Here is a 26,416-nt window from a genome sequence, read left to right on the forward strand (position 1 = left end):
GTGCAGGAGAAGTCTGCTGCTAGGCTTATCCTGGAATGTGCAGACTGCAGTTTCAGATAAGGAAATAGGTAGAAAGCTTTCTTTTATGTGAAGGAAGTTTTGCATGAAGTGCTGGTGCAGAGATGGCTGCTGGAGTCTCCAGCGTGGGAGCAGTCTGGCTCTGTCACCGTGCTGCCGCACTGGCTTCTCAGAGTCAGCCCCATGTGCACACCTGCACTGGCTGCCCTTGGCTGGGGACCAGGCTTGGCATCCCTTCTCAGCCCCTCGAAAGCCACGCCAAGGGGTCAGGAAAGCCGTGATTCGCATAACTTGCAATGGGACTGGGCAAATAATTGTGAATGGAATTCGTGCTTGTGACTTCTGGTTCTCACAGCTGCGGATGGGGGGGATCACCATGGGAATTCTGAGTATTGTTCAGCGCTGACTGCAGCTTCCATTGTTGGGCTCTGATTACAGCTTTTGTTTCACCATAAAGTACTGTTATTAAATGCCATTCAGGAACAAAGATGTACTTACATGCCAGGGGGTCAGGGAAGGCACGCTATTTCTAAAGCTGCCCCTGCTGTTAGTCTAAGGGCAGGTAGGTTGTAGGGGAAGGAGGGCAAGCTGGAGGTTTTAGATGAAAGTGAAATGTTTCTGAAGGAGCCAGACAAGATGGGAAATGATGATGTCATCACAGCCCTGCTCTAGTCTTCCCACGTCAGTTCATTTATACTTATTTATTTTTGGGCCAGGAGAGGGTGGGGGTCAGGTGCACAACCAAACATCTACTGCACATTAGAATCATTGGGAGTGCTTTTCAAAAGTCTTAGATTTGTGGGGAAACAAATTCAAGTGCCCCCTTAGCTTGGCGGCCTGAGCCCTTCCAAGTCAGGTCTCTGCTACGTCCCCAGCACCATATCCACACGGCCCTGTTCCCCCATTGCACCAAATTCCACGAGATCCTACACCACAATCCCATCCCAGTCACCCTCATATGAACAAGGACCACAGCAGTCAAAGTACTTTTAGAACCTACCCACTGCCCATGTAAGAGACTCTGAATGTATTATCGCCTTGGTCAGGTGGGCTCAGGGAATCAGGCCGAACTAAATCATAGAAATGCTGACACTGATGGAGCCACTAATACCTGCCAGACCTTTGTTGCATTATTTTATTTAGGACTAATGATGGGGCTGTGAAGTGGGAACTATTGCCAGAGAAATGAGGTAACATGTTTGAGGTCACCCAGCTAGTCAGGGCAGATGGACTCCAGGGCCCCAGCTTCTTACTTTCCTTTCCTGGGCTGGGGCCCATGACATCCAGACTCTCCTGGTGGAAGCAGTGACTTCTGTGCTTCTCTTCCTTTTTTTTTTTTTTTTTTTTTTTTTTTTTTGAGACGAAGTCTCACTCTGTTGCCCAGGCTGGAGTGCTGCAGTGAGGCGATCTCGGCTCACTGCAACCTCCGCCTCCCAGGTTCAAACGATTCTCTTGCTTCAGCCTCCTGAGTAGCTGGGATTACAGGTGCCCGCCACCACACCCAGCTAATTTTTATATTTTTAGTAGAGATGGGGTTTCATCATATTGGCCAGGCTGGTCTTGAACTCCTGACCTTGTGATCCGCCTGCATCTCGCTCTCAAAGTGCTGGAATTACAGGCGTGAGCCACTGTGCCCTGTCTGGTAAGGGGAAGGGGTCTGAGGGTACAATTCCCCCAGGCCAAGGAGCTTGTGAAGCCCAAGATGGACTTGTTCCCAGATCCTCTCTCCCAGCTTTGTTTGCAAGGAGTCTTCACCTTCTAGAATGCTCCCTACTTCAGTGCTGCAATTAGCAACCCAAGTGTGGCCCTGGATGATCATCTTGATTCAGAAAATCTTGTTTTTCAAGTTTTCACACCACATTGGAGCAAGAGTCCGTATGTTTGGATGACAGCAAGCATCCTGTGCTCTGCAATTTTAGGGTTTACCACCATCCCAGGCCTGCCACATGTGGTCAGGGTAATTAATGTATGACCTAACTAGGGTGTAGATGCAGCTGGAACCCACCAGACCCCCAGAGATCATAGGGTTGCTGGGGACCTTTAGAACTCCAGTGGCTTTCAGCAACTTTAGATCCTGTCCAACCCAGATGTTCAGTGTTGGGCTCCCTTCCTTGTCTGATAATCCTAAGGCAGGAAAGACCTAGTTCTGCTCTCTACAAGTCTTGGAGGCAAGCATCTCCCCGGATGCCCAGTTTTTTGTTTTTTGTTTTTTGTTTTTTTTCCTGTGTGGGCCTGGAATTTGGGCTGGTTGCTGACTTTTTCAGAAATCCTATTCTTCCACCTTGGTAAGCATAAAATGTGGACAATCTTTCGTGGCACCTTCCTGAAGGAGGATTGTTCTGCCCCAGCCCTGGGATGCAAGAATTAGCTCCAGAAGGAGACTCCAGTCACCTGATTGGTAATCTGGGAAGGTCACTTAATCTGTGCCTGCTTGGGGTGATTACTGAGAATCATGCTTCCCCTCACTTGGTCATTGCCAGTTGTGAGGCAGGGTCAGAAAGCCAGCTCCGACTCTTCACCCACAGAAGCAACTCCACTGACTCGCTGCCTGGAGTTCTTGTGCCATTTTTACACTAAAAAATAGGGAAAAGCCGTTTTTAACTCTCTGCTACCCAGTTTCTGGAGGGGACACAAAAAGAACAAAGCCGGGTTCAGAGAGTGTTCAGTTCATGTTTAATTCTTGTTCTATCTTGGTTCTGATTTCTGGTTAGAACAGAGGTTTGCTTCTGGAGGTACTCCTTCTGCTTGGCTTCTGATGCTGGCTCTGTCCATAAAGGGGACTGTGGCATTCATCATTCAACACATACTTCTGTTGTAGGCACTAAGGATACAAGCAGGAACAAAACATAAAATCCCTGGCCACGTGGAGGTTACAGTTTAGAGGGATATGCAGAAAAAAAAATATATATGCACATATATAATATGTACAAAAGTGACCATTGCTAAGGGGAAAAAGATAATGCAGGAAATGCTGCAGACATCAAATATTAGAGAGGTGACTAGCATTCAGGAGCTTTCTGCGTGCCTCTGTACGCTGCTTTTTGTGTTGTCAGAGGGGCTGACGTCTGTCTGGAAGCCCCAGAGCCCAGCACTAAGCATATGGAAGGGGCCCAAGAGCTATTTTTGAATGAAACATCAACGTACTTCACACGTGCAAAGCATGATGATAATGATGACAGTGATACTTTAAAGGTAAACTGCAGGCTGGGGCAGTGGCTCACACCTGTAATCCCAGAACTTTGGGAGGCTGAGGAGGGGGGTAGATCACTTGAGGTCAGGAGTTCGAGATCAGCCTGACCAACATGGAGAAACCCTGACTCTACTAAAAATACAAAAATTAGCCTGTCATGGTGGCAGGCACCTGTAATCCCAGCTACTTGGGAGGCTGAGGCAGGAGAATCACTTGAATTCAGAGGCAGCGGTTGCAGTGAGCTGGGATTGTGCCACCACACTCCAGCCTGGGCGACAGAGCGAGACTCTGTCCCTTCCGGCAGAAAAAAAAAAAAAAGTAAACAGCTAAACTATAGATCCTTGAATTCAGACTCCTCCTTTTTCTTCAGATGAAAAGTAGCCATGGAATATTCCAGCATTCCTCAGTGCCTTCAGTGAGTCCTGAGTGTTCTTGGTTTGCTCCCAGACTGTAATTTCCCTGTACTATTTTTTTTTTAAATAGCACTGAAAGCACTGTTATGTAATAAACCTCTGCATCCAAAAAAAAAGAGGCTGGAAGAAAAGCAGAGAGCTTTTTTTTTTTGTCTCTGTATTTATTGGCTGATCGGGAGCTATGAAGTTCTGGTTATACTGCAACCTCAAAGCAGTCCTGGGATTATCTTGTTGTGTGTCCTTGGGCAAACTGAGTTACTTTTCTGGCTTTCTTTACTGTATGTAAATATGGCTCTCAATGATAAACAGTTTTGGGGACTTGTTATGCAAAAAGAACAAAGGAGCAATTTTTTTTTCTTGAGTCCCGTTCTGTCCCCCAGGCTGGAGTAGAGTGGCACGATCTCAGCTCACTGCAACCTCCATCACGTGGGTTCAGTTGATTCTCCTGCCTCAGCCTCCCGAGTAGCTGGGACTACAGGTGCCCACCACCATGCCTGGCTAAGTAGAGGGGGTTTCACCATGTTGGCCAGGCTGGTCTCAAACTCCTGACCTCAAGTGATCCGCCCACCTTGGCCTCCCAAAGTGCTGGGATTACAAGCAGGAGCCATCACATTGGCCAAAGGAACAATTTCAAACCACTCATCAATGATGTCAAACAACATTTAGGAGAGAGATCCGGCGGGTCCAGCCTGGAGAGGGTGAGAGGCTCTTGGCCTAAGTGTTCTATTCTCAGGACCAGTATTTTCAGATCAAATAAAAGATGTGAATTTGACTTTGAATTTCAAATAAACAAATTTCCCATCTGGAATCTTCTAGGATTCTAGCACTGACAAGCTAGAGACTCCTTCCAGACCTTCTAGCCAGGGAAGGCAAACTCAAATGCCTACAGGGATAAGACAGGTGACACCTAGATTTTTATTTTTAAATGTTAACCACACATTCAGTTAAATCAACAAAAACCCACTGTGTGGACCAAAGGAAACAATCTGCTCTGGCTACTTTATAAACTATAGTGAGGCCAAACCCTTTCAACCATTATACAGATGAGGACCCCAAAAGGGACAGATGTCAGCAAGGCTGCATAGCTAAGGTTTCTCAAAAGATAACCAAAATATCACGTTGGATGAAAGGCAATTGAAAATGCTAAGTCTCAAAGAGGCAGTCAGAGAGCCGTTCTATGCAGTTTGCAAGATGTTTTCACCTCCATCAATTTATCAGACTCTGAGAACATTCTGCAAGGCAGGCAGGGTGGATGACACTCATTTACAGTCGAGGTCACTGAGGGTCAGAAGGGCAAAGTGTCACTCTCTGCATAAAGTCACATAGGTAAGTCTACACAGGAAAATCTAGGGCTGTTCTTCACTACACCTCTGATTCAGATAACAGGTAGGCTTCCTCTAAGATTTTAATAAAGACAAACTCAAAATCCTGTATGATGCCCCATGAAGAGAAACAAGTCAGGAGGCCAGGCTGAGCCCCCAGACTTCTAACCCAGTTCGCAAATAAAGAAAGTGGCAAAGTAGATAGATTCCAGCCTGTCACCAGGGTTGTGTCTTCTGTCCTAGCAGCTGTACAGCTTGTCTTACCACTGGACATTTGTTTCATGTACATTTTCACATAGGAAGGATATTCTAAAAGATGTTGATAAAGATTTTTTAAAGGGTTTGAAGGGGATAGGATGTGATCTAAGGTTGTGCAAGGAGAGGAAAGGAAGAAGCACACAAAAAGAACAAATATTTATTAAGAGCCTAGAGTGGCATGCGCTGTGAAAGGCGTGGCATGTAATTCTTTCCCAGTTCTTTGCCTGTCTGAATATTTCTCATTCTTCAGGTTTCAGCTCAGATATCACATCCTCAGAGAACTTGCCTTGCCACTCTCTCTGAAGAGCCTCCCCCCGTCCCCGCCACCGCTACTGTCTCTTGAACTTTCTCAGTCTGGCCATTCTATTAAAATCTGGAACGATTTTGCTAGTTTGCGGACGAGTTTCCCCCAAGCTGCAGGCTCCATAAGGGCAGTGACAGTGTCTCTTTCTCAGATGAATGCCGGGTTGCCTATCGCGTACTTGGCACACAGTTAAGTGCTCGAGAAATTGCTAAACACTCAACGAATATTTACCAGAATACATATTTATGCTCCACCGTTGCTGAAAGAATTTCGACTAACCCTTCTTTAAGTCTCTCTTACCCTCCTGTACTATTAACACCATTGTAAGTAGGCAGTGGAGCTACATTTGCAGGGAGAGAGAAGAGCGAAAAATTGGCGCGCAGAGCTGTAAAGCGTTTTTCTCCAGGTCACACCGCAGCCTGTAAATTTGTGACACTTGGACCGATTATGGGACAGCTTGCAAACAAATTATCTGCAAACTAACGAAGCCTATTTTTAAAGATCCCTGTTCCTCGCAGCTCTAGGCGATGACATCAGAGAACCCGGAGTTCTACCTCCGAGCCAAGCCCAGTGGTGGTCAAAAACTACGAATACCAGGAAGCACCGCGGCGCGGCGGCCCAGAGCTCCGCGCGCAGGCCTCCCCGGCGCGCCGAGGCCGCCGCCGCTGGAACCAGGAAGACGCCAGAAACTCGGCCCGCCACGCCGCAGGGACCCGCGCGGGGCCTGCCGGGACTCGTAGTCTCTGCGGGCTGGGAGCGCCCGCTCCGGAATCTCAGCCGCCGTCTGAGGGCTGAGGCAGCGTGGGGACGCGTGCGCAGTGCGCGGGCTGGCCGTCGCGGACGCCGCTCCGGGCAGCCGAGCCTCTGTGGGAGCCGGGGCCGCGGCGGCGCGGGTGCTCCGGGCCGAGGCCGCGGTAAAGTTTAGCTTGAAGAACGCGGCCGCGCTGGAGCAGGGGTGGTGGACGGGGCCAGGCGCGAGGTGGCGGCGGCTGCGGGGCTGCCGGGCTGCTGGAGCGCGGTTCCCGCTGTGGCGAGCGGGGAGGCGTCCGCAGAGGGGCGGTGGGTGCTGGTGAGTGCGGAGCCGGCGCCCCCTCTGCGCACGTCCGCGCCACGCGCCACAGCACCTGGAGGCCGCCGGGCCGGCTCACCTGCCCTGGCTTGGGGCAGCGGGAGGGGGCGGCGTCTTCTTCCCGTGGGTCCCCGATTGTTTTCCCGACGTCAGCCCTCAGCGGCGCCCGGCGGGGGAGGGCGGGAGGCCCGCGGCGGTCGCGGGGCCGACGAGCTCCTCGGCGTCTCCGCCCCCCGAGAAATCCCGCTCGGGGCGCGGTGCGCGCAGCTGCCCGGGGATTCCCGGTGGCGCCGGTCGGAGCGCCTCCCTCCAGGGCTGTGCCCGCGGGGCGCGCGTCCCCGGGCATCCTTTCCTGGTGTTTAATGCATTTTGGCTTCAGGACTTGCCGAGGCCGAAGCCGGCTCCGCCCTGGGCCCTGAAGTCGGGCGGTGTCCGCGATTTACCTCCGCACCTTCGGGGCAGGTGGCCAGAGGCAGCGTTGAAAGCGACTTGCCCAAGGTCACGCAGGTGGCACCGGGGAGGCGACCAGACCCAGGTCTTTCGACGCCGAGGCCAGCTGCCAACCGCAGAGCTTTGGGGCCGTCTTGAGTGGTTTGTGGTTTGTTTCAGATGCTTTCTATTGACCTCCTGGAAAGAGGGGAAAGTGTGTCATAATGAAAGCGGTCCTGTTGCTTATAGTGTTTACCGCCTTTGGTAGAATTCTGGTGAGGCTGTGCCCCCGCGCAGAGCATCTACCGTGGTCTGGGCGTATAAATAATGAAACTCCTTTGCTCTCTGGGGGCAGTACAAGAAGAGGTTCAAGGAACAAATAAATATCCAGGCAGTTTCTGCGTTTTCCTCGTCTGTTTGTTTCACCTTCCAATTCTGCAGTACTGGTTTTCTTATTTTACAATTGATCGTTGTTTTAATAAGATTTTCTTTGTTTTAATGAAGTCATTGCCCCTTGTGAGTTAGTTTTCTAAATAGAAAATCTTATTTCCTGTGTGTTTAATGACTGGAACAAATAGTGCACTATGAGGTTTACACCATTGTCTTTCATCTTAGAACTCCTGATCAATCTGCTTTATTTTCCCAAGTACTCAGCTTGCATACTTTCTATGTTAATTTGATGCCACTGAAACCATTTACAGCAAAGTTTGGGTAAGAGTTATGTGATTGTTTTGTGAAACTGTGTTTTTCTTCACAATCTGAAGAACTTGAAGACCCGTTATATTAAAATAATAAGATTTATTCTGATCAAAATACCTGTTTACTTTTCATGCTCTTAATTTTTCCTGTTGACACACTTGTGGCAAAAGAAATATTTCCCCTAGTGGAGTTAAAGTATTTTTTATCTTGGCCAATTTTCCCAAGGAAAATTGCATTTTAGAGTACTGATACATTTAAAAAAGAGTATTTAAGTTTGACAGAATTTGAATTAATAAAGTAGTTAATTTATTTTATACTGCCGTAAACCTTACACTGTATCTACTGACAGTTTTCTCTTGTAGCGTATACCTGTATCAAGATATATGGCTGTGAATTTAGTGACATTAAGAAGATATATATATATATATATATATATATATATATAATATAAATATATGTGTATACACACCGCGCGGGCGCGCGCAGAGCTTCCAATCTTTATCTTGTTAATTAGTATTTTCATTGTCGCTTTGGGAGGGGGGAAAGTAGCAGGTTTGTATCTTTTTTTCTCCCCAGTTTTAGCAGTGTAACAAAATAGGAAAGATGGTGTGTAAAATTGAGTTTGTCATAGACTAGGAGAGACAGTGAAACAGGATAAGTATACAATTGTGAGGAAACTGCCATGAGTTCATAAGCCGGAAGGACCTTTTTAGAAGTGTTTAAGGATGTTAAGAATAGCATTGGATTCTTTTCTTTAAAAGTCATTCAAGTATCGTTTGCTAACATATAGGATATGACAATATTGACCACTCCTAGGAAGATACTTGGGAAAGGTGGAAACATTTTACATTTTTATGGGGACTTCCCCCCACAAAAAACATTTAATGGAGATTTAAACAAAGTGGCTTTTTGACTTAAGCCTGGAAGTTCTTTATTATTATTAGTCATGCTGCAAATCCCGAAGTTATTTTAATTGTGTGATAATTTGTAACCCAGAATGAAATCTAATAAATAGTTTATTAATATAATTTAAGTCATACTTTGACATTGACATATTGCTTGATGTCAAGTCATTATTGTTTAAATAACTTATTTGAGAATGGGGAAGATAGTTTTCTGAATATAGTGTAGTAATTATTTGTGACAATAGTAACATTGCTTTTATTAGAAAATTTTGGGTTGATATAACTAACTGCCTTAAAGTATTTCCTATTTGATTCCAACTGTGAGCTGAGGTAATATGCAAATAATTACTTTTCTCATGCTGGAGCAGTTTACTTTTGTTAATATTAAAATTTAAATTTCAAGATTAAAAAATCTTGTTTTAGATCTGCAATGATACAATAAAATGACTTCAATAGGAGTTAAATATTAAGATTTGGTTTTAGGTTTTTTGACCATTTGTGAGTACACATCCAGCATTTAAGAATTTATTGACATGGTGTCTGAAAGGAATGCTTTCAGAAAGGGCAGAAAACTTGGTAGCTTTAGATGATTGTTTATAATGCTTAATTATTTTTAGAAACATAAAAATATGGGATGTTTTTATGTAAACATAAAGCATCCTGTTATTTGTTATAGCACTAGAACTCTCTTACACTTACTGAGCAATATTAAACCATTTGACCCTAAGTAACTTTTTTTCTTGTGGGTACTGTCTAATAAGGGATATGTGAGTTTGTGATTCCTAGAAGATGCTTAAGCAAACATATGTTTGCTATTTATTTTAGTAAGCCTTTTAATTAGTTGAATTGATAATATTCAGGAAGATAGGGTTTTTGGGATTTTATAAGCTTTCTTTGAACTGGAATTTCTGTTGGATATAAAAGAAAATTAGTCATTTAAGATTTTTTTAAGTTAAATAAGTTTTAGAGCAAAATATTGTTTCCTACATGGAACTCTTACCAGGCTTGTCAGTCTGATAGCTTTATTCTCCAGAAAGTTGTGGTTTTTAGCCCTTTAGGCAGCCTAGCCTTTTATGGTTTAACCATTGAACTCTAGATTCTGGATTGAATTTAACCTCTTGAAGGAAAAGACGATCACAGGCACTAGAATTGGAAGTGATGTCAGAGGGCTTCTAATGTAGCATCTTACCCGGTACAGTAAATCCCTCCTGAGAATTTCCATGTCAGGTGTTCCCTCCCATTATTAAGGATGAGAATGCTATTGCATATGTCATCAGGTTATTCAGCAGTCCAAGCTTACTGAGAACAAACACAAGAGTTTTAATGAGTTTTAATTTTCACTATTCACTGCCTTTAACTGTATTTTGTAGGCTCTTTCCCACCCCCCTGTCCCCCACCCCCCATAACATCATGGGTAAATGATAGCTTTTCTGTCATTTACAGTTATCAAAAAGCTCTAGGCTGGGCTCAGTGGCTCATGCCTGTAATCCCAGCACTTCAGAAAGCCGAGGTGGGAGGATAGCTTGAGCCCAGGAGTTTGAGACCAGCCTGGGCAACATGACGAAACCTTGTCTCTACAGAAAATAGAAAAATCAGCCGGGCGTGGTGGCATGTGCCTGTAGTCCCAGCTAGTTGGGAGGCTGTTGTAGGAGGATCCCTTGAGCCTGGGAGGCAGAGGTTCCAGTGAACAGAGACTGTGCTGTGGCACTCCAGCCTGGGTGACAGGAGAGTGAGACCCTGTCTCCAAAAAAAAAAAAAAAACAGAAAAACAAAAACAAAAAATTGCAGTCTATTCCAGTTTGAACATTCAATCTCATATATATTCAATTTAAAGGTTTTTTTTCCCTTCCTTACCCTGTGGTCAGGCCACTTACTTACTGAAGCACTTGGGGTATGGACGGCTTGTGGTAAGCTCCTGGGATACTTCTTTCCTTTCCCTCTTAAGGGATCTATTTGGATACAAATGTGTCAAGAAGAGAAGTAGAAAAAGACAAGTGTTTGTTATCTGGTGCTATTAGAGTCCTCTCTTGATTAACAGTGGCAGGCCATTGCAGTCTACTAATAGGCAACCAAACTGGCATTTTTGGTGAGATCTTGCAGGGAGACTCCTGCTGCACAGTTTCTGGGTATGAAATTTTCTGTAGCTAAACCTTTTCCAACCTACACACCCATCTGCTTGCTCCCATCCTGTCAGTTTACCCACTGGTTACGTGAATGTGTGTGAGTCGGGGTGGAGATCTTTTCTCTCTGCAGCGAGATATTTTGATAATGGCAAAACAACTTCAATCCAGGTACGCTGTGGTTTCTATTCAACCCACTGGAAACTCACTTCCTTGTGATGTCGAATAGTGGCATACAGACTACTTAAGTCTGCCTTCTTTCTGTGCCCTGCCATTTCTCATCAATTCTCTTTGTCCCCCTTTTCAAGTAGACACATGGGGTCAGTCACTCAGTCTGCTGCATAAGCAGATGTGGAACTGGAGAATGGGATGCAAGTCTGTTCTAGGCTCCTCTGATCTTCATGAGTGATTTCTGTTAGAGGCCCCTGCCACTGTTTTGGTGAAGACCTCCTTCTTTTCCCTGCGTTCTCCCTGAAGACTTACAGTTCTTTCCCTCTCTTCTGTCAACTGCTCTTGCAGAGTGGAAGGATGGTGCTGATTAGGGTGCCAGAGCCATGCCTGACTCTACAGATATTTGATCCTCTATGTCTATATATCCTCAGCTTTGTGTTTGTCAGTGATTGTGGGGCAACAGGACTAGTCCCACTCGACATGTTTTAACAAATAATAGTGAAGTCTTGTGGGCCTGTTGAGGTCTCACTGTACAGAATTTAATTTTTCTTTGCTTTTTCTTATATCACTCAGGCTGTTTCTGTGTTTTGCCTTATTTTTTGGCTTCCTGGTTCCTGACTGATGAGGTGTTAACTGTAATTATGTTAATTTATGACTGATTTGTAAGATCTAACTATACCTTAGAGTATGAGTAAAGCTGAAGGAGAAATTTGGGTTGGGAGGCATGTTAATAATATAATTGTGTCTGGTTTTGCCTCATGTAAGTTTCACTAAAAATATAAATTTAAGTGGAAATACAGTATTTGAAACTTTTTCCTTCCATTATTTAAATAAATCAGTTAAATCTGGTAAATGATTCTTGTCTGATGAGGAAGAAACAACTTTCTATCTGGAAACTTAACGTTAATCTTTGATGCAGTAATTATGGGTTACTTCATCCGTCGTTCAACAAATAGTTACTGAGGGTCTTGCATGTGACAGCCACTGTGTTAGGCATTGGAGAAACAACAGTAAATAACAAATCCCTGCTGTCATGGAGCCTACATTACAGTGTGGGGAAACAGACAAGAATCAGGTAAATAAGTAAACTGTATCATTCATTAGATAATCAATAAATGCTAAGGAGAAGAATAACATGGGGAACCAAGGTGGAAGTAGCAAAACGGTTTGGAGGATTTGCAATTTTAGATAAGATCTAAAAGGCAGTGTTCACTGAGAACGTGACTTTGAGTTACAAGTCCCCGAGTGGGAATCTTGTCTGGTGAGTCCAGCGGCCAAATGAATGAGTAAGGTGGGTATTGGGATGGGGTAACAGGGCAGACGAGGCTTAGTGGTCTTTATGAGGGCTTTGGTTTTTAGGTTTTTACTTTGAGTGAGATGGGATCCCATTGAAACAGGTTGTCAACCTTGGCCGAACATTAGAATGATTGGGGAAGCTTTAAAAAAGTACTGATGCCTGGATCCCATCCCAGAATTTCTGATTTAATTGGTCGGCGGTGGTGGGGGAGGTGGTGTTTTAACGTAGGCATCAGGAATTTTTAAAATTCCCAGGTAATTCTGATAAGTGGCCAAGGTTGACATCTATTGCACTGAAGAGTTTTGAGCAGAGTGAGGTATTACATAGTATTGAGGAGTGTGACTCTAGAGCCAGACTCCTCCAGTTTGACTCCTGGCACTGCCACTCCCAAGCATGTGACCTTGAGCAAGTGCCTTATTAGTTTTCTCATCTGTAAAATTGTTATAAGGATTAAATAAACTAATATTTAGGTATTTAGAAAAGTGCTTTGTGAGTAGTAATATGTGTACGTGTTTATTGAGTGAACACTTGAATAAATGTTTTAATGGGATCACTTTGACTGCCATGTTGAGAATAGATTGAAGTGGGGTAAGGGCCAGATCCAGGAGAGGCCCTTGGCAATAATCCAGGTGGGAGGTCATGGTCACTTGGACCAGAGAGGTAGCAAGTGGTGAGAAGTAGGATTCTGGTTATAATTTGAAGATGGAGATAACAGGATTTGCTGATGGATTGGACATGGGGTAGGATATGGTTTGGATTTGTGTCCCCACCCAAATCTCATGTCGAATTGTAATCCCCAGTGTTGGAGGAGGCGCCTGTTGGGAGGCGGTTGGTTCATGGGACAGACATCCCTACTTTCTGTTCTCATGATAGTGAGTGAGTTCTCCTGAGATCTGGTTGTTTAAAAGTGTGTACCTCTCTCTTCTCTCTTTCTTCCTCCTGCTCCTGCGATGTAAGAGGTAACTCCTCCCTCTTTGCCTTCCACCATGATTGTAAGTTTCTTGAGGCGTCCCCAGTCATGCCTCCTGTACAGACTGTGGAACTGTGAGCTAATTAAACCTCTTTTCTTTGTAAATTACCCAGCCTCAGGTAGTTCTTTATAGCAATGCAAGAACGGACTACCACAGGGTGAGAAAAACTTAAGTATGACTTCAAGATACTTTTCCTGAACAACTGGAAGAAGGGAGTGGCCCTTTACTGAGCTAGGGAAGGCTGGATCAGGATTCTGAGGGGAATATCTGGAGCTCAGTTTGTTAAGTTTGAGATAGCTTGTTAGATAAGTGGAACCGTAGAATAGGCAGTTGTATACATGGGTCTGGAGGTCAACAGTGTTCAAGGCTGGAGATAACAGTCTGGAAGTCATCAATATTTAGGCCTGTGAGAATGAGTAACCTCACCAAGACACTGAGTATATATAGGAAAGAGATCCACAGACCACCCTCTGGGATACTCCAACAATAGAGGTCTGGGAGATGAAATATTCCTTAGGGTTTCTTATGTACTCTAGAATGAAAGACAATTGTAATCGTTTCTTTTTTTAGAAAAAGCTTTATTGAGATAATTCACACTATATAAATCACTTATTTAAAATGTATGATTTAGTGCATTCACAGTTACGTGGACAACACCACAATCAATTTTAGAATATTAGTATCATCCCCAAAGAAACCCTGTACCCTCCTATCCTTAGACAACAACTCATTTCCCCTGTACCTAGGCAACTAGTAATCTACCTTCTAGCTTTATAGATTTGCCCATTCTGCATATTTCATGTCAGTGGAATCATACTATACTTGGTTTGTTTAGAGAGAAGTGGTATCCATTAGTACCTAGCTTCTAGATTCAATAGATACCAAGTTACTTGGTAAAGGTGGGGGCTATAAGATCTCTCCAATGTAAAGATACATTTCCTGTTTGCAATTAGTAACAAAACTGTGGGGTGATATTTTGAGACTATGAATATTCTGTTTCCTAACAGCATTTCATCTAGTGGTTTTAGTGTTCATTGAAGATGCTTGTGTAAATCAGTGAGACATTGGGATTACAAAGTGGTGATTTTCTATTACTGTCATATCTTCAGAAATGATGTAGTTCATATTATTTCTAATTCAGATGTATTGTACACAGTTTGTTCTTTTGTTTTTTGTTTGTACCTCTTTTCTCTCACTGTGAAAGTCTTGGTTCCTAATAACAAATAAATGTTTTCTTTTATTTTAAATATAATCATATCAACATATTTACATTATCCAATAATGTACATTATAATGGTCTGGAAGTCTTGTTATACCTAAAATGTTTCACATTACAGTACCAAGTAGGAATGCTGGATCATAGGATAAAAGCATATATGATTTTGTTAAATAGTACCAGATTCACCCAGTAGGGTTTTACCATTTTGCCTTCTTGCCAGCAATGTAAGAGTTTCTGTTTTCTTACAGCCTCATCAGTATAGTGTGTTGTCAAACTTTTGAATTTTTGCCAGTCTAATAGATGAGAAATGGTATATCTGTATAGTATAGATTTAAAAAACTTTTCTATTATGGAGATTTGTGAACATCCACAAAAATAGAATAGTGTAACCAATCCCATGAACACCATCATTTAGCCCCAGCAACTACCAACCCTGCCACCAGTGCCTCCGTTTATTCCCTTCTCTAAAAATTATTTTGAAACAAATCCCAGATAACATTTTTTTCTTTTCTTTCTTGCTTTTTTCTTTTCTTTCTTTCTGTTTTTTTTTTTTCTTTTTTTTTTTTAGAATGGGTCTTGCTCTATTGCCCAGGCTGGAGTACAGTGGCACAATCATAGCTTACTGCAGACTCAATCTCCTGGGCTGAAGCGATTATCCCACCTCAGCTTCCCAAGTAGCTGGGACTACAGGCACACACCACCATGCCTGGCTAATTTTTTTTTTTTTTTTTGGCAGAGATAATGTCTTGTCATTTTGTAGGCTTGAATTGCTGAGCTCACACAATCCTCCTGCCTCAGCCTCCCAAAGTGCTGGGATTACAATTGTGAGCCATCATGCCTGGCCCCAGATAAATAACATTTATTTTATATCAGTAAATATCTCTAAATGAAAAGGACTCCTCCTTTTTTTGGTAACAATCACAATGCCGTTATCACACCAAAAATAATGTGTCTGTTTTCTTAATATCATCAGACAATATTCAAATTTCCGATTTTAAGTATGTCAGTGTTTTTTTGTTTGTTTTTGTTTTTATTTTTAAAGAAACAGGATTTAAATAAAATCCACATGTCGTGATTGGTCCAGATATCTAAAGTCTTTTTTAATTCATAGGTTTCTCCTCTAGTTCCTTTTCTTCTCCTGCTTTTGAATTTAATTTTAAAGAAACCAGTTATCTTTCCTGAGCCATTTCTTACTGTATAGATTTTGATATTTGAATCCCTGTGGTAGTCTCTCGTGTTGTTCTGTTCTTGGGATGTCATTGGCAATGGCTACATCTCGGTATGGTTTTTTTGTATTTGTCCTGTTATGAGTGATACTGAATATCTCATCATATATTTAAAGGCCATTTTTATATCTCTCTTGGTACAATGTTCATGTCTTTTACTCATTTTTCTATTGAACGTTTGATATATTTCCCTTAACATTTTTTGCAAGCTCTTTAAATGCTAGGGAGATTAGCCCTTTGTTTATGATATAAGTTGCAAATATTTTCTACTGGCTTTGACTTTGCTTATCAGGTTTTTGCCATGGAAAGCTTTTAAAAAACTTTATTTGGCTGGGCGCGGTGGCTCACGCCTGTAATCCCAGCACTTTGGGAGGCCGAGATGGGCGGATCACGTGGTCAGGAGATTGAGACCATCCTGGCTAACACGGTGAAACCCCGTCTCTACTAAAAATACAAAAAATTAGCCGGGTGAGGTGGTGGGCGCCTGTAGTCCCAGCTGCTCGGGAGGCTGAGGCAGGAGAATGGTGTGAACCCCAGGGGGCAGAGCCTGCAGTGCGCCGAGATCGTGCCACTGCACTCCAGCCTGGGTGACAGAGCGAGACTCTGTCTCAAAAAAAAAAAAAAAAAAATGACTTGTAGTCATTTATAAATGAGTTTTTAAAATTGTTACTGCTCCAGGTGTGGTGGCTCACACCTGTAATCCCAGCACTTTGGGAGGCCAATGCAGGTGGATCATTTGTGGTCAGGACTTTGAGACCAGCCTGGCCAAACATGGTGAAACCCTGTCTCTACTGAAAATACAGAAATTAGCCGGGTGGTAGTGGCTCAGTGCCTGTAATCTTAGCTACTCAGGAGGCTGAGGCATGAGAATTGCTTGAGCCTGTGAGGTGGAGGTTGCAGTGAGCCGAGTATCACGCGACTGCACTGCAGTCTGGGCAACAGAGTGAGACTCTACCTCAAAAAAAGAATTTTTTTTTAAATTGGTACTGGATTTTTAACCTTTTGAAGTTACATTCAATAAACTCTATCTGTTTAAAATGTATAATTTGATGAGTTTTGACCATGTCTGCAGCACATTAAGATACAGAACATTTCCATAACTCTGAGAAGTATCCTCATGCCACTTACAGTCCTTCCCTTCACCCTCAGCTCCAAGCAACTACTGATCTGCATTCCATCCCTATAGATTGGTTTGCAGTTTTCAGAATTTTATAGAAATATAATTATTTCTATAAATAAATAACACTAAAACCACTAGTTGAAATGTTAGGAAGCAGAATTATTATCAAAGGCTGTATCCTTTTGTGTCTGGCTTTTTTTTTTTTTTTTTTTTTTTGAGGCGGAGTTTCGCTCTTGCTGCTCAGGCTGGAGTGCAGTGGCGTGATCTAGGCCCACTGCAACCTCCGCCTCCCGGGTTCAAGCAATTCTCCTGCCTCAGCCTCCTGAGTAGCTGGGATTAGAGCATGCACCACCATGCCCGGCTAATTTTGAATTTTTAGTAGAGACGGGGCTTCTCCGTGTTGGTCAGGCTGGTCTTGAACTCCCAACCTCAGGTGATCTGCCTGCTTTGGCCTCCCAAAGTGTTGGGATTATAGGCGTGAGCCACTGTGCCCAGCCTATTTCTGGCCTTTTTTGTACTTAATATTACGATTTTGAGATTTATTCATGTTGTTGCATCTGTCAGTAGTTCCTTTTTACGGTAGAGCAGTATTCCATCTCTACTGATTTGTTCTATGTCCCATATCCTTTTTGGTCTGGCTTCTTTCACATACCAAAATACATTTGACATTTATTAGTTGCGCATGTATCAATAGTTTGTTCCTTTATTTTGCCAAGTAATATTTTATTGTATTGGATGCACCACATTTTGTTTATTCGTACACCAGTTGAAGGACATTTGGGTTGTTCGTGTTTTTTTGCCAGTTATGACTAATACTGCTATAAACATTTGTATCCAATATTTGGTGTGAACATAAGCCTTCAATTCATTTGGATAAATACCTAGGAGTGGGATTGCCGGGTTGTTCGCTAAGGATCTGTTTAACTGTAAAAACTGCCAAACTGTTTTCCAAAGTTGCTATGTCATTTTGCATTTCCACCAGCAATATATGATAGTTCGTTTATTTCACATCTTTGACAGCATTTAGTGTTGTCAGGGTTTTTTTTGTTTGTTTTAGACATTTTAGTAGGTATGTTATAGTATCTTGTGGTTTTTATTTGCATTCACTTTCCTGACTAATTATAGTAGGCATCTATTCGTGTGCTTATTTACTATTTTTATATGTTCTTAGTCAGCTTGTGTGTTCCAAGTTTTTTTTTTTTACCATTTTCGTATTTGGTTGTCTTATTATTGAATTGTAATAATTACCTGCCTGTTCTAGGGTATCATTTGCTGTCTGGATACATATATATTGAATATTTTCTTCATTTTTATGGCTTGTCTTTTCATTTCTTTATGGTGTCTTTTGAAGAGCAATTTTAAAGTTTGATTACGTTTCAGATATATCAACTATTATATGGTTCAGGCTTTTTGTGTCTTATCTAAGAAATATTTGTCTACCCCTAAGGTCCTGAAGACTTTGTCCTATATTTTGTTCTGGAAGCTTTGACATTTTACATTGAGTCAGTGATCCATTTGAGTTAGTTTTTTTCCTCATAGACAGTCGATTATTCCAGTCTTGTTTGTTGAAAAGACTGTCCTTTCTCTACAAAATTGCCTTGGCACCTTGGTTGAAAATTAACTGTTCTCTCTTCCTGTTTACTAGAAGAATTTTTAAAAGACCGGTGTTATTTTTTTCCTTAAGGGATTGGTAGAATTCACATATGAACTATTTCTAGGCTTTGACTTTTCTTTTTGGGGTTTTAGTAGTGAATTCATTTGCTTTAGTAGAAATAGGTACTTCAGATTTTCTTTTTTGTCTTGTGTCAGTTTTTTCAAAGTTGTGTTTTTTCAAAGAATTTGTTTACTTCTAAATTGTCAAATTTGTTTGCATGAATTCTTATTACCCACTTAATGTCTATAGGGTGTGTAGTGTGTACTTCCTAATATTGGTGATTTGCTTTCTCTCTTTCACTTGGTTCACATAGCTATAGATTTATCAATTTGATCTTTTCAAGAAACAGCTTTTGGTTTTAATTTGTATTGTTTGTTTTCAATTTTATTAGTTTCTTTTCTGATATTTATTATTCCCTTTCTATTTTGGGTTTACTTTACCTTTTTCTAGCTTTTTAGGGTGGAGTTTATGCCATTCATATTAGACCTTTTCTAATAAAAATATCTTAAGACTATAAATTTTCTTTCAAAATCACCTTTAGCTGCATACTACAAATTTTGACTTTTAAAATTTTTCATTTAGTTAAGAATGTTTTCTGATTTCCCTTTTGATTTCTTCTTTTACCCATATTTTATTTAAAAGTGTATTTTAATTTTCAAATAGCTATTCAGGTGATAATTTCATCTATAGCACTAAAAACCAATGAAAATTCTGACATATATTTGTTTATAAAATTCCTTGAATGCTCTGTATATTGTATTTATATGGTATATACCTGAGGGCTTTTCTGTAGCATAAAAGAACAGTTCATTATTTTTCACTGTTCTCTGGGTTGAAGGAGCTCATTTGGGCAGCTCCATCTTGGGGGTCTCTCTCTTGTAGTTGCAGTCAGATGGCAGCTGGAATGAGAGTCATCTGAAGGCTTGACTGGGCTGGATGGTCAAGATAGCCTCTTCACTCACTCTGCTAGAATGACTGGGACAGCTGGGTGTGGGCTGGTCACCTCTCTCCGCACAGCTTCTTCATGGGACTAGTTGGCTTTCACACAACGGGGCAGTCTGAAGGCAGTCAGATTTCCTACATGACAGCTGACTTCTAGAGTGAGCATTCTAAGACATTGAGTTTTTTCAAGTAGATAATTTATTTGCTCTACTCTTTCAAACTAAGAAGTAAGATAAATGTATGGGGCCAGTCATTGTAGAAACTGCCTGGTAAGTAACGTTACAGCATCCTTTTATTTTTTTAGTCGAGGTGAAATTAGCATGAGATTACCCATTTTAGTGCGTACAACCCAATGACATTTCATACTTTCACAGTGTCAGTGTTGTGCAACTATCACCTATATCTACTGTCAAAACATTTTCATCACCTGTTAAGCAGCTCTTCTGCATTTCCCACTCTCTTCAGCCTCTGGCAACCACCAATCTATTCCTTGTTGCTCTGGATTTATCTATTTAGGATCTTTCATATAAATAGAATCATACAACATGTACCTTTTTGTTGGTGGCTTTTTTCATTTAGCATGTTTCTGAGGTTTATCTAGGTAGTAGCATGTATCAGTACTTCATTCCTTTTTATGTCTGAAAAATATTCCATTGTATGCATATACCACATTTCATTCATTTGTTGGGGTTGTTTCCACCTTTTGGCTATTTGTGAGTAGTGCTGCTATGAACATTTCATATACAAGGGTTTATTTGACTACCTGTGTTCAATTCTGAATATCTGAATCTCAGAGATACGTGGGTTCAGTTTCAGTCCATGGCAATAAGATAAATGTTGCAATAGAATGAATCACACTAATTTTTTGGTTTCCCAGTACATATAAAAACTATGTTTACACTATACTGTAACCTATTAAGTATGCTATAGCATTATATGTAAAAAATGTATATACTATAATTTAAAAATATTTTATTGCTTAAAAATGCTAACAGTCATCTCAGCCTCTTCAAATGAGTTGTAATTTTTTGCTAGTGGAGAGTTTTAACTCAATGTTGGTGGCTGCTGACTGATTAGGATAGTGGTTGCTGAAGGTAGGGGTGGCTGTGGCATTTCAAGAAACCACTTTTGTTTGCTCATCCATAGAAGCAACTTCTCATCTGTTCAAGTTTTAGCATGAGATTATAGTAATTTAGTCACATTTTCAGGCCCTTCTAATTCTAGTCCTTTTGCTGTTTCTGCCATATTTGTAGTTACTTCCTCCACTGAAGTCTTGAACCCTCCCAAGTCATCCACGAGAGTTGGAATCAACTTCTTTCAAAACCTTGTTAATGTTGATATTTGGACCTCCTCTTGTGAATCATGAATGTTCTGAACAGCATCTAGAATGATGAATCCTCTCCAGAAAATTTTCAATTTACTTTGCCCAGATCTATCAGAGGAATCACTGTCTATGGCAGCTATATTTCAAATCACAAATATATATTTCAATATCACAAAATGTGTTTCTTGAAAGTTGAAATTACTCTTTGATGCATGAGCTGCAGAATGGATGTTGTGTTAACAGGTGTGGAAACAACATAATCACCTTGCACATTTTCATCAGAGCTCTTGGGTGACCACGTGCATTGTCAGTGAGCAGTGATATTTGGAAAGGAATCTTCTGAGGAGTAAGTCTCAATAGTGGGCTTAAAATATTCAGTGGCTGGGCGTGGTGGCTAACACCTGTAATTCCAACACTTTGGGAGGCCAAGGCAAGCGGATCACCTGAGGTCAGGAGTTTGAGAGCAGCCCGGCCAATGTGGTGAAACCCTGTTTCTACTAAAAATACAAAAATTAGTCAGGCATGATGGCATGTGCCTGTAATCCCAGTTACTTGGGAGGCTGAGGCAGGCTGAGGCAGGAGAATTGCTTGAACCTGGGAGGTGGAGGTTGCAGTGAGCCAAGATTGCGCCACCACTCTAGCCTGGGTGACAGCAAGACTCCATCTCAAAAAAAAAATTTTTTTTTCAGTAAAACATGCTGTAAACAGGTGTGCTGTCATCCAGATTTTGTTATTCCATTTTTAGAGTACAGGCAGAGTAGACTTTGCATAATTCTTGAGGGCTCTAGGATTTTTTTCGGAATGGTAAGTGAGCAGTGACTTCAACTTAAAGTCAGCAGCTACATTAGCCCCTAACAAGAGTCAGCTTGTCCTTTGAAGCTTTGAATCAGGCATTGACTTCTCTAGAACTGTGAAAGTCCTAGATGGCATCTTCCAATAGAAGACTTTCACATACATTCAAAATCTCTTTACTGTACCCACCTCCTTGATGTCAGCTAGATCTTCCTGGATAACTTGTGGAAGCTTCTATATCAGCACTTGCTGCTTCACCTTGCACTTTTATGTTATAGAGATGGCTTCTTTCTTTAAAAGTCATGAACCAACAACCTCTGCTGGCTTCCAGCTTTCTTCCTGTAGCTTCTCACCTCTCTCAGCCTTCAAATAACTGAAGAAAGCCTTTCTTTAGGTTAGGCTTTGACTTAAGGGGAATACTGTAGCTAATTTGATGTTCTGTCGAGACCAGTAAAGCTTTCTTCATATCAGCAATAAAGCTGTTTCACTTACCATTCTTGTGTTCACTGAAGTAGCACTTTTAATTTCCTTCAGGAACTTTACCTTTGCATTCATAACTTGGCTGTTTGGTGCAAGAAACCTCATTTTTGGTCTGTCTCAGCTTTTGACATGCTTCACTTACTAAGCTTAGACATTTCTGGCTTTTGGTTTAAAGCGAGACACTTGGCTGGGCATGGTGGCTCATGCCTGTAATCCCAGCACTTTGAGAGGCCGAGGCAAGAGGATTGCTTGAGGCCAGGAGCTCAAGACTAGCCTGGGCAGCATAGTGAGATCCTGTCTTTACAAAAAATAAAAAAGTTAGCTGGGCATGGTGGTACATGCATGTAGTTCTCCCACCTATTTGGGAGGCTGAGACAGGAGGATTTCTTGAGCCCAGTAGTTTGAGGCTGCAGGGTTGCCACAAACCTTCAATTTGTAAAAACTCCAATATCTGTGAAGTGCAATAAAATGAAGCACAGTAAAACGAGGTGTGTGTGTACCTAGGAGTAGAATGGCTGGATCATATGGTAATTCTATGTTTAACTCTTGAAGAGCTGCCAAATTGTTTTACACAGCTGTTGTACCATTTTACATTCCCACCAGCAACGTAGGAGGGTTCCAGTTTCTCCATGTCCTTGCCAACACTTGTTATTTTCCTCTCTTTTAATTATAGCCATCCTAGTGGGGGTGAAGTTTTATCTCATTGTGGTTTTTATTTGGATTTCCCTAATGACTGATGATATTGAGTATCAAAGTTCTCGTTGACCATTTGTTTATCTTCTTTGGATAAATGTCTCTTCAAGTCATTTGCCCATTTTAAACTTGGACTAAAGTTTTTGAGTTCTGAAAGTTACTTATGTATTCTGGATACTAGATCCTTGTCAGATATATAGTTTGCAAATATTTTCTTTCCTTCTATAGATTTTCTTTTGACTTTCTTGAAGTTGTTTGATGCAAAAAAAGTTTTAAAATTTGATGAAGTCCAATATAATTTTTGTTGTTGCTCATGCTTTTGGTATTATATCTAAGAATTCATTGCCAATTCCAAAGTAAGATTTACCCTATATTTTCTTCTGAAAGTTTTCTGGTTTTAGCTCTTAAATTGTTAATCCATTTTGAGTTAATTTTTATAAATGGTGTGAGGTAGGGGGTCCAGCTTCATTCTATGTGGATATCCAGTTGTACCAGCACCAGTTGTTGAAGAGGCTTTTTTCCCCCACATTGAATGGTATTAGCACCCTTGTTGAAATCAGTTGACTATAGATGTATAGGTTGAAATCAGTTGACTATAGATGTATAGGTTTATTTCTGTGCTCTTAATTCTTTTCCACTGATCTATGTCTATTCTCATGGCAAGTTGATAGCTTTTACCTGTGGTATATGGTAGTATAGAGTATTGATTTTTCAAGCTTTGATTACATTGTAAACTTTTTTTTTTTTACAAACATGGTAAATTTATTAAAGAAATTATTTCCTTTAAAGTATCAGATTTATAAGAACAATAACAGCAACAACACACAAACTTATTGGATGGTTTTATTTAAAACTTTTTGGTGTATTTTATCATTTCTCTGACTGCATATGGAATAGTGATGCAGATACATAGTATATCAGTGTGCATTGTAATTGAATTTTCACTGTAAGTTAAATTTACCTTGAGCCTCTAAATAAATAGTTATGTAAATTCATCCTGCCAAAAGATGTGATGGTGCCAGCTATAGAAGTACCAGAATAGTAACAGCTGTCTGGTGCAGATTTGGGCTAAGCATCACATCAAGAAGGAATCACATGTCTGTAGTCTCTAGAGAAACAGTTCTTGGCACCTAATGGTTTTTTAACTTTAATCAGTACAATAAAAGTTGCAGTACTTTAGGACCAGAATATGATACACCTTTTAAGTCTATTTTAATCTATAATGTCTCTCTTTTTCTTTTTTTTCTTGTAATAATTTACTTGCTAAAGAAACTTTTTTTTTTCCTTTGTTTCTTATAGTCTGGCTCTTGCTGATTGAATTCCTTTGGTGCAGTTTAGCATGTTCCTCTGTGTTCTGCATCTCCTGTAGGTTGGTATTTGGATATAGAGGGGATCTAAAAAACATTTTTTCTTGTTGCTTTATGTTCACATGATAGGTGATGTTTGTGTCTTCCATCAGGAGGCACATCATACCTGCTTATCTCTCTTTCCAGTACATTAACTAGTTTATTTTGATTCACTTTAGTTTTAACAATTCAAGGGTTTTTTAGAGAGGATGGTGTAGAGCATAAGATAGGAGATCTAGAGTGCGGTAATCTGGATTCAGGCTTTGACTCTTGGCCTACTAGTTTTGGAATTTTGGAAAATCACTTCCCCTGTGTATTAAGTTCCTTATCTGCTGGGGATGATTATGCCTACTCCTAGGATTGTTTAGAAGATTAAAAGAGTTAACATATGGAAAAGAACCTTGTACAGAGCCTAGCATGTAGCAAGTGGTCACTAAATTTTAACTTTTGTTGTTTTGTGAATTTAAAAATATTCTAAAATAATCTAAAGGATAGATTATCTTGATTTGTGAGGAAATTAAAATTTGGATAACTATTTTTTTTGGCTCACCTGGGGTTTTTTTAGGGAAAAAGTAAGTAAATTATTCAGCTGAGGTGAGTAGCTCTCTGTTGTCCCCATCACAGTGAATAAATAGTTACATTTAGTAACCACTCTTCACAAACTGAATTTCAAAAGTGATTTTTGTCAATGCCTCAGATGTTGGTGTGTGTTCATTTTAATTGACCTTACCTAATGTTGGCAAGTTGCCCCCTCATTGAACAGATTTGCAGTCCATGAGAAATACTTTCCTGTTTCATAGGGAGCTTACTGTTAATATTTTTATTTTACAGTGTAATGTTCAAGCTCAGAAATGCCTTATGTGGATCGTCAGAATCGCATTTGTGGTTTTCTAGACATTGAAGAAAATGAAAACAGTGGGAAATTTCTTCGAAGGTACTTCATACTGGATACCAGAGAAGATAGTTTCGTGTGGTACATGGATAATCCACAGGTTTGTAAAATCCCAAGGATTATCTTTTAAAAGCACAGAAAGTTGTATTTAAGTATTTAACATACTATACAGGCTTTAGATTTGTCTTCTTAAGCAGTATATTTTTAGATTTATTTCTACTGGCTGTCCTCTCTGCCCTGCACCCCTGACCTCTACTGTTTTGTTTGAATTTCAGAAGGTGAAACTAAGTTTATTTGATAAAAATTAATGCTTCTGTATATATTTTTCCCTCGAGAGAGAAATACTCTCTCTGGTGGCAAATTAGGTTTTAGAAAATTAGAACTTGAGTCACAGAAAAAAATAACAATTGAAGCTGTCCCAAAAATAAGAAATACTTTTTTTGTAACATGTATTTCAAACAACAGCTAAAATAAAGACCAGGGATAGATGATTTTCTTGCATTAAGGAGGCTTAATACCAGGGTCCCTTTAGTGAGATTAAATTTAGGTTTAAGATGCTGCATCTAGGATAGAGACTATTATTTTTAAATAAATAAATGACTTAACCACATGATACTCTTGCACATATGTAGTCCTTTTATTTTGTAGTGTCAGATTTGAGTCAGTCATTGTAATGCCATCCATGAACTGAAATGCAGTTTGATTTTATTGTTGCCTTGCAAAACACAGGGGTAAATGCTACAATTTAAAAAATTGGAATCCCAGCCTTAAGAGGCCTGAGATTAGATATCATCTGTGAAGTAGTTTTAAACTTTCAACTTTCTCTACTTTTTTTTTTTTTTTTTTTTTTTTTTGAGATGGAGTCTCTTATCACCCAGGCTGGAATGCAGCGGTATGATTTTGACTCACTGCAGCCTCTGCCTCCTGGGTTCAAGTGATTCTCATGCCTCAGCCTCCCGAGTAGCTGGGACTACAGGGGTGTGCCACCACACCTGGCTAATTTTTTGTATTTTTAGTAGAGACAGGGTTTTTCCGTCTTGGCCAGGCTGGTGTTGAACTCCTGATGTCAGGTGATCCTCCAGCCTCAGCCTCCCAAAGTGCTGAGATTACAGGCATGAGCCACCGCGCCCGGCCTTTTGGAACTTTTTATCTTCAAATAAAAATTGGTGTAGAAGTTAAAAATGGGGTTGTATGTTGCAAGGAAGTATGTGCAAAGCAAGGGATGAATCTCTAGCAGACTTCTAAGCTGATTTTTGTCCAGTAGGCTTCTCGTGTGGGTGAGGAATGGAAGGTCTAGGGAAGAGCAGAGACTTATACAAGGTTCTGTTCTGTTTCACAGAGCAGGAACTAGGTCTGCTGATAAGTAGTCTAGTATTCTTCACTATATACTGATTTTAGATTAGACAAGATATATATGTGTCTATAGTAGATACTAATGTGTGTATGTTTATTTATGTAGAATTTGAGTTGTAAGGGACCTCTCCTCACCCATATGAGCCATTGCACAGTTCTGCCTATTTTCTCTCCCTGATTTTTCTCTCTCTTCACAAGGTCTGGTTGAC

The 26,416-nt window shown here is 41.0% G+C and overlaps 1 protein-coding gene across 68 annotated transcripts in view, besides 6 other annotated features; it reads left to right on the forward strand.

Moving 5' to 3' along the window:
* Positions 231 to 755: an enhancer, noted in NCBI's record as "OCT4-NANOG-H3K4me1 hESC enhancer chr10:124128134-124128658 (GRCh37/hg19 assembly coordinates)". NCBI's record gives its function as "activates a minimal SCP1, AML or CMV promoter by ChIP-STARR-seq in primed H9 embryonic stem cells {active_cell/tissue: H9 hESC(primed)}" and the evidence as "EXISTENCE:reporter gene assay evidence [ECO:0000049][PMID:30033119]".
* Positions 6,029 to 6,178: a silencer, noted in NCBI's record as "silent region_2889". NCBI's record gives its function as "represses an Ori minimal core promoter by ATAC-STARR-seq in GM12878 lymphoblastoid cells {active_cell/tissue: GM12878}" and the evidence as "EXISTENCE:reporter gene assay evidence [ECO:0000049][PMID:35858748]".
* Positions 6,319 to 6,428: a silencer, noted in NCBI's record as "silent region_2890". NCBI's record gives its function as "represses an Ori minimal core promoter by ATAC-STARR-seq in GM12878 lymphoblastoid cells {active_cell/tissue: GM12878}" and the evidence as "EXISTENCE:reporter gene assay evidence [ECO:0000049][PMID:35858748]".
* The window catches only part of PLEKHA1 (pleckstrin homology domain containing A1), a 67,893-nt gene continuing 47,797 nt past the window's right edge, over positions 6,321 to 26,416 (forward strand). For 16 of the 68 annotated variants that reach the window (NR_165161.1, NR_165162.1, NR_165164.1 and 13 more), the window contains exons 1-3: positions 6,321 to 6,419; positions 23,916 to 23,985; positions 24,794 to 24,954. Coding sequence is in view for 63 of the 68 variants with exons in the window: in XM_017016478.3 (XP_016871967.1) it covers positions 24,814 to 24,954 (141 nt within the window). In the remaining 5 variants the exon portion in view is untranslated. The other 52 variants (NR_165160.1, NR_165165.1, XM_011540021.2 and 49 more) reach the window with 22 other exon arrangements.
* Positions 6,469 to 6,538: a silencer, noted in NCBI's record as "silent region_2891". NCBI's record gives its function as "represses an Ori minimal core promoter by ATAC-STARR-seq in GM12878 lymphoblastoid cells {active_cell/tissue: GM12878}" and the evidence as "EXISTENCE:reporter gene assay evidence [ECO:0000049][PMID:35858748]".
* Positions 6,559 to 6,718: a silencer, noted in NCBI's record as "silent region_2892". NCBI's record gives its function as "represses an Ori minimal core promoter by ATAC-STARR-seq in GM12878 lymphoblastoid cells {active_cell/tissue: GM12878}" and the evidence as "EXISTENCE:reporter gene assay evidence [ECO:0000049][PMID:35858748]".
* Positions 6,729 to 6,928: a silencer, noted in NCBI's record as "silent region_2893". NCBI's record gives its function as "represses an Ori minimal core promoter by ATAC-STARR-seq in GM12878 lymphoblastoid cells {active_cell/tissue: GM12878}" and the evidence as "EXISTENCE:reporter gene assay evidence [ECO:0000049][PMID:35858748]".

Source organism: Homo sapiens, chromosome 10, assembly GCF_000001405.40.
Source record: "Homo sapiens chromosome 10, GRCh38.p14 Primary Assembly".
NCBI lineage: Eukaryota > Metazoa > Chordata > Mammalia > Primates > Hominidae > Homo > Homo sapiens.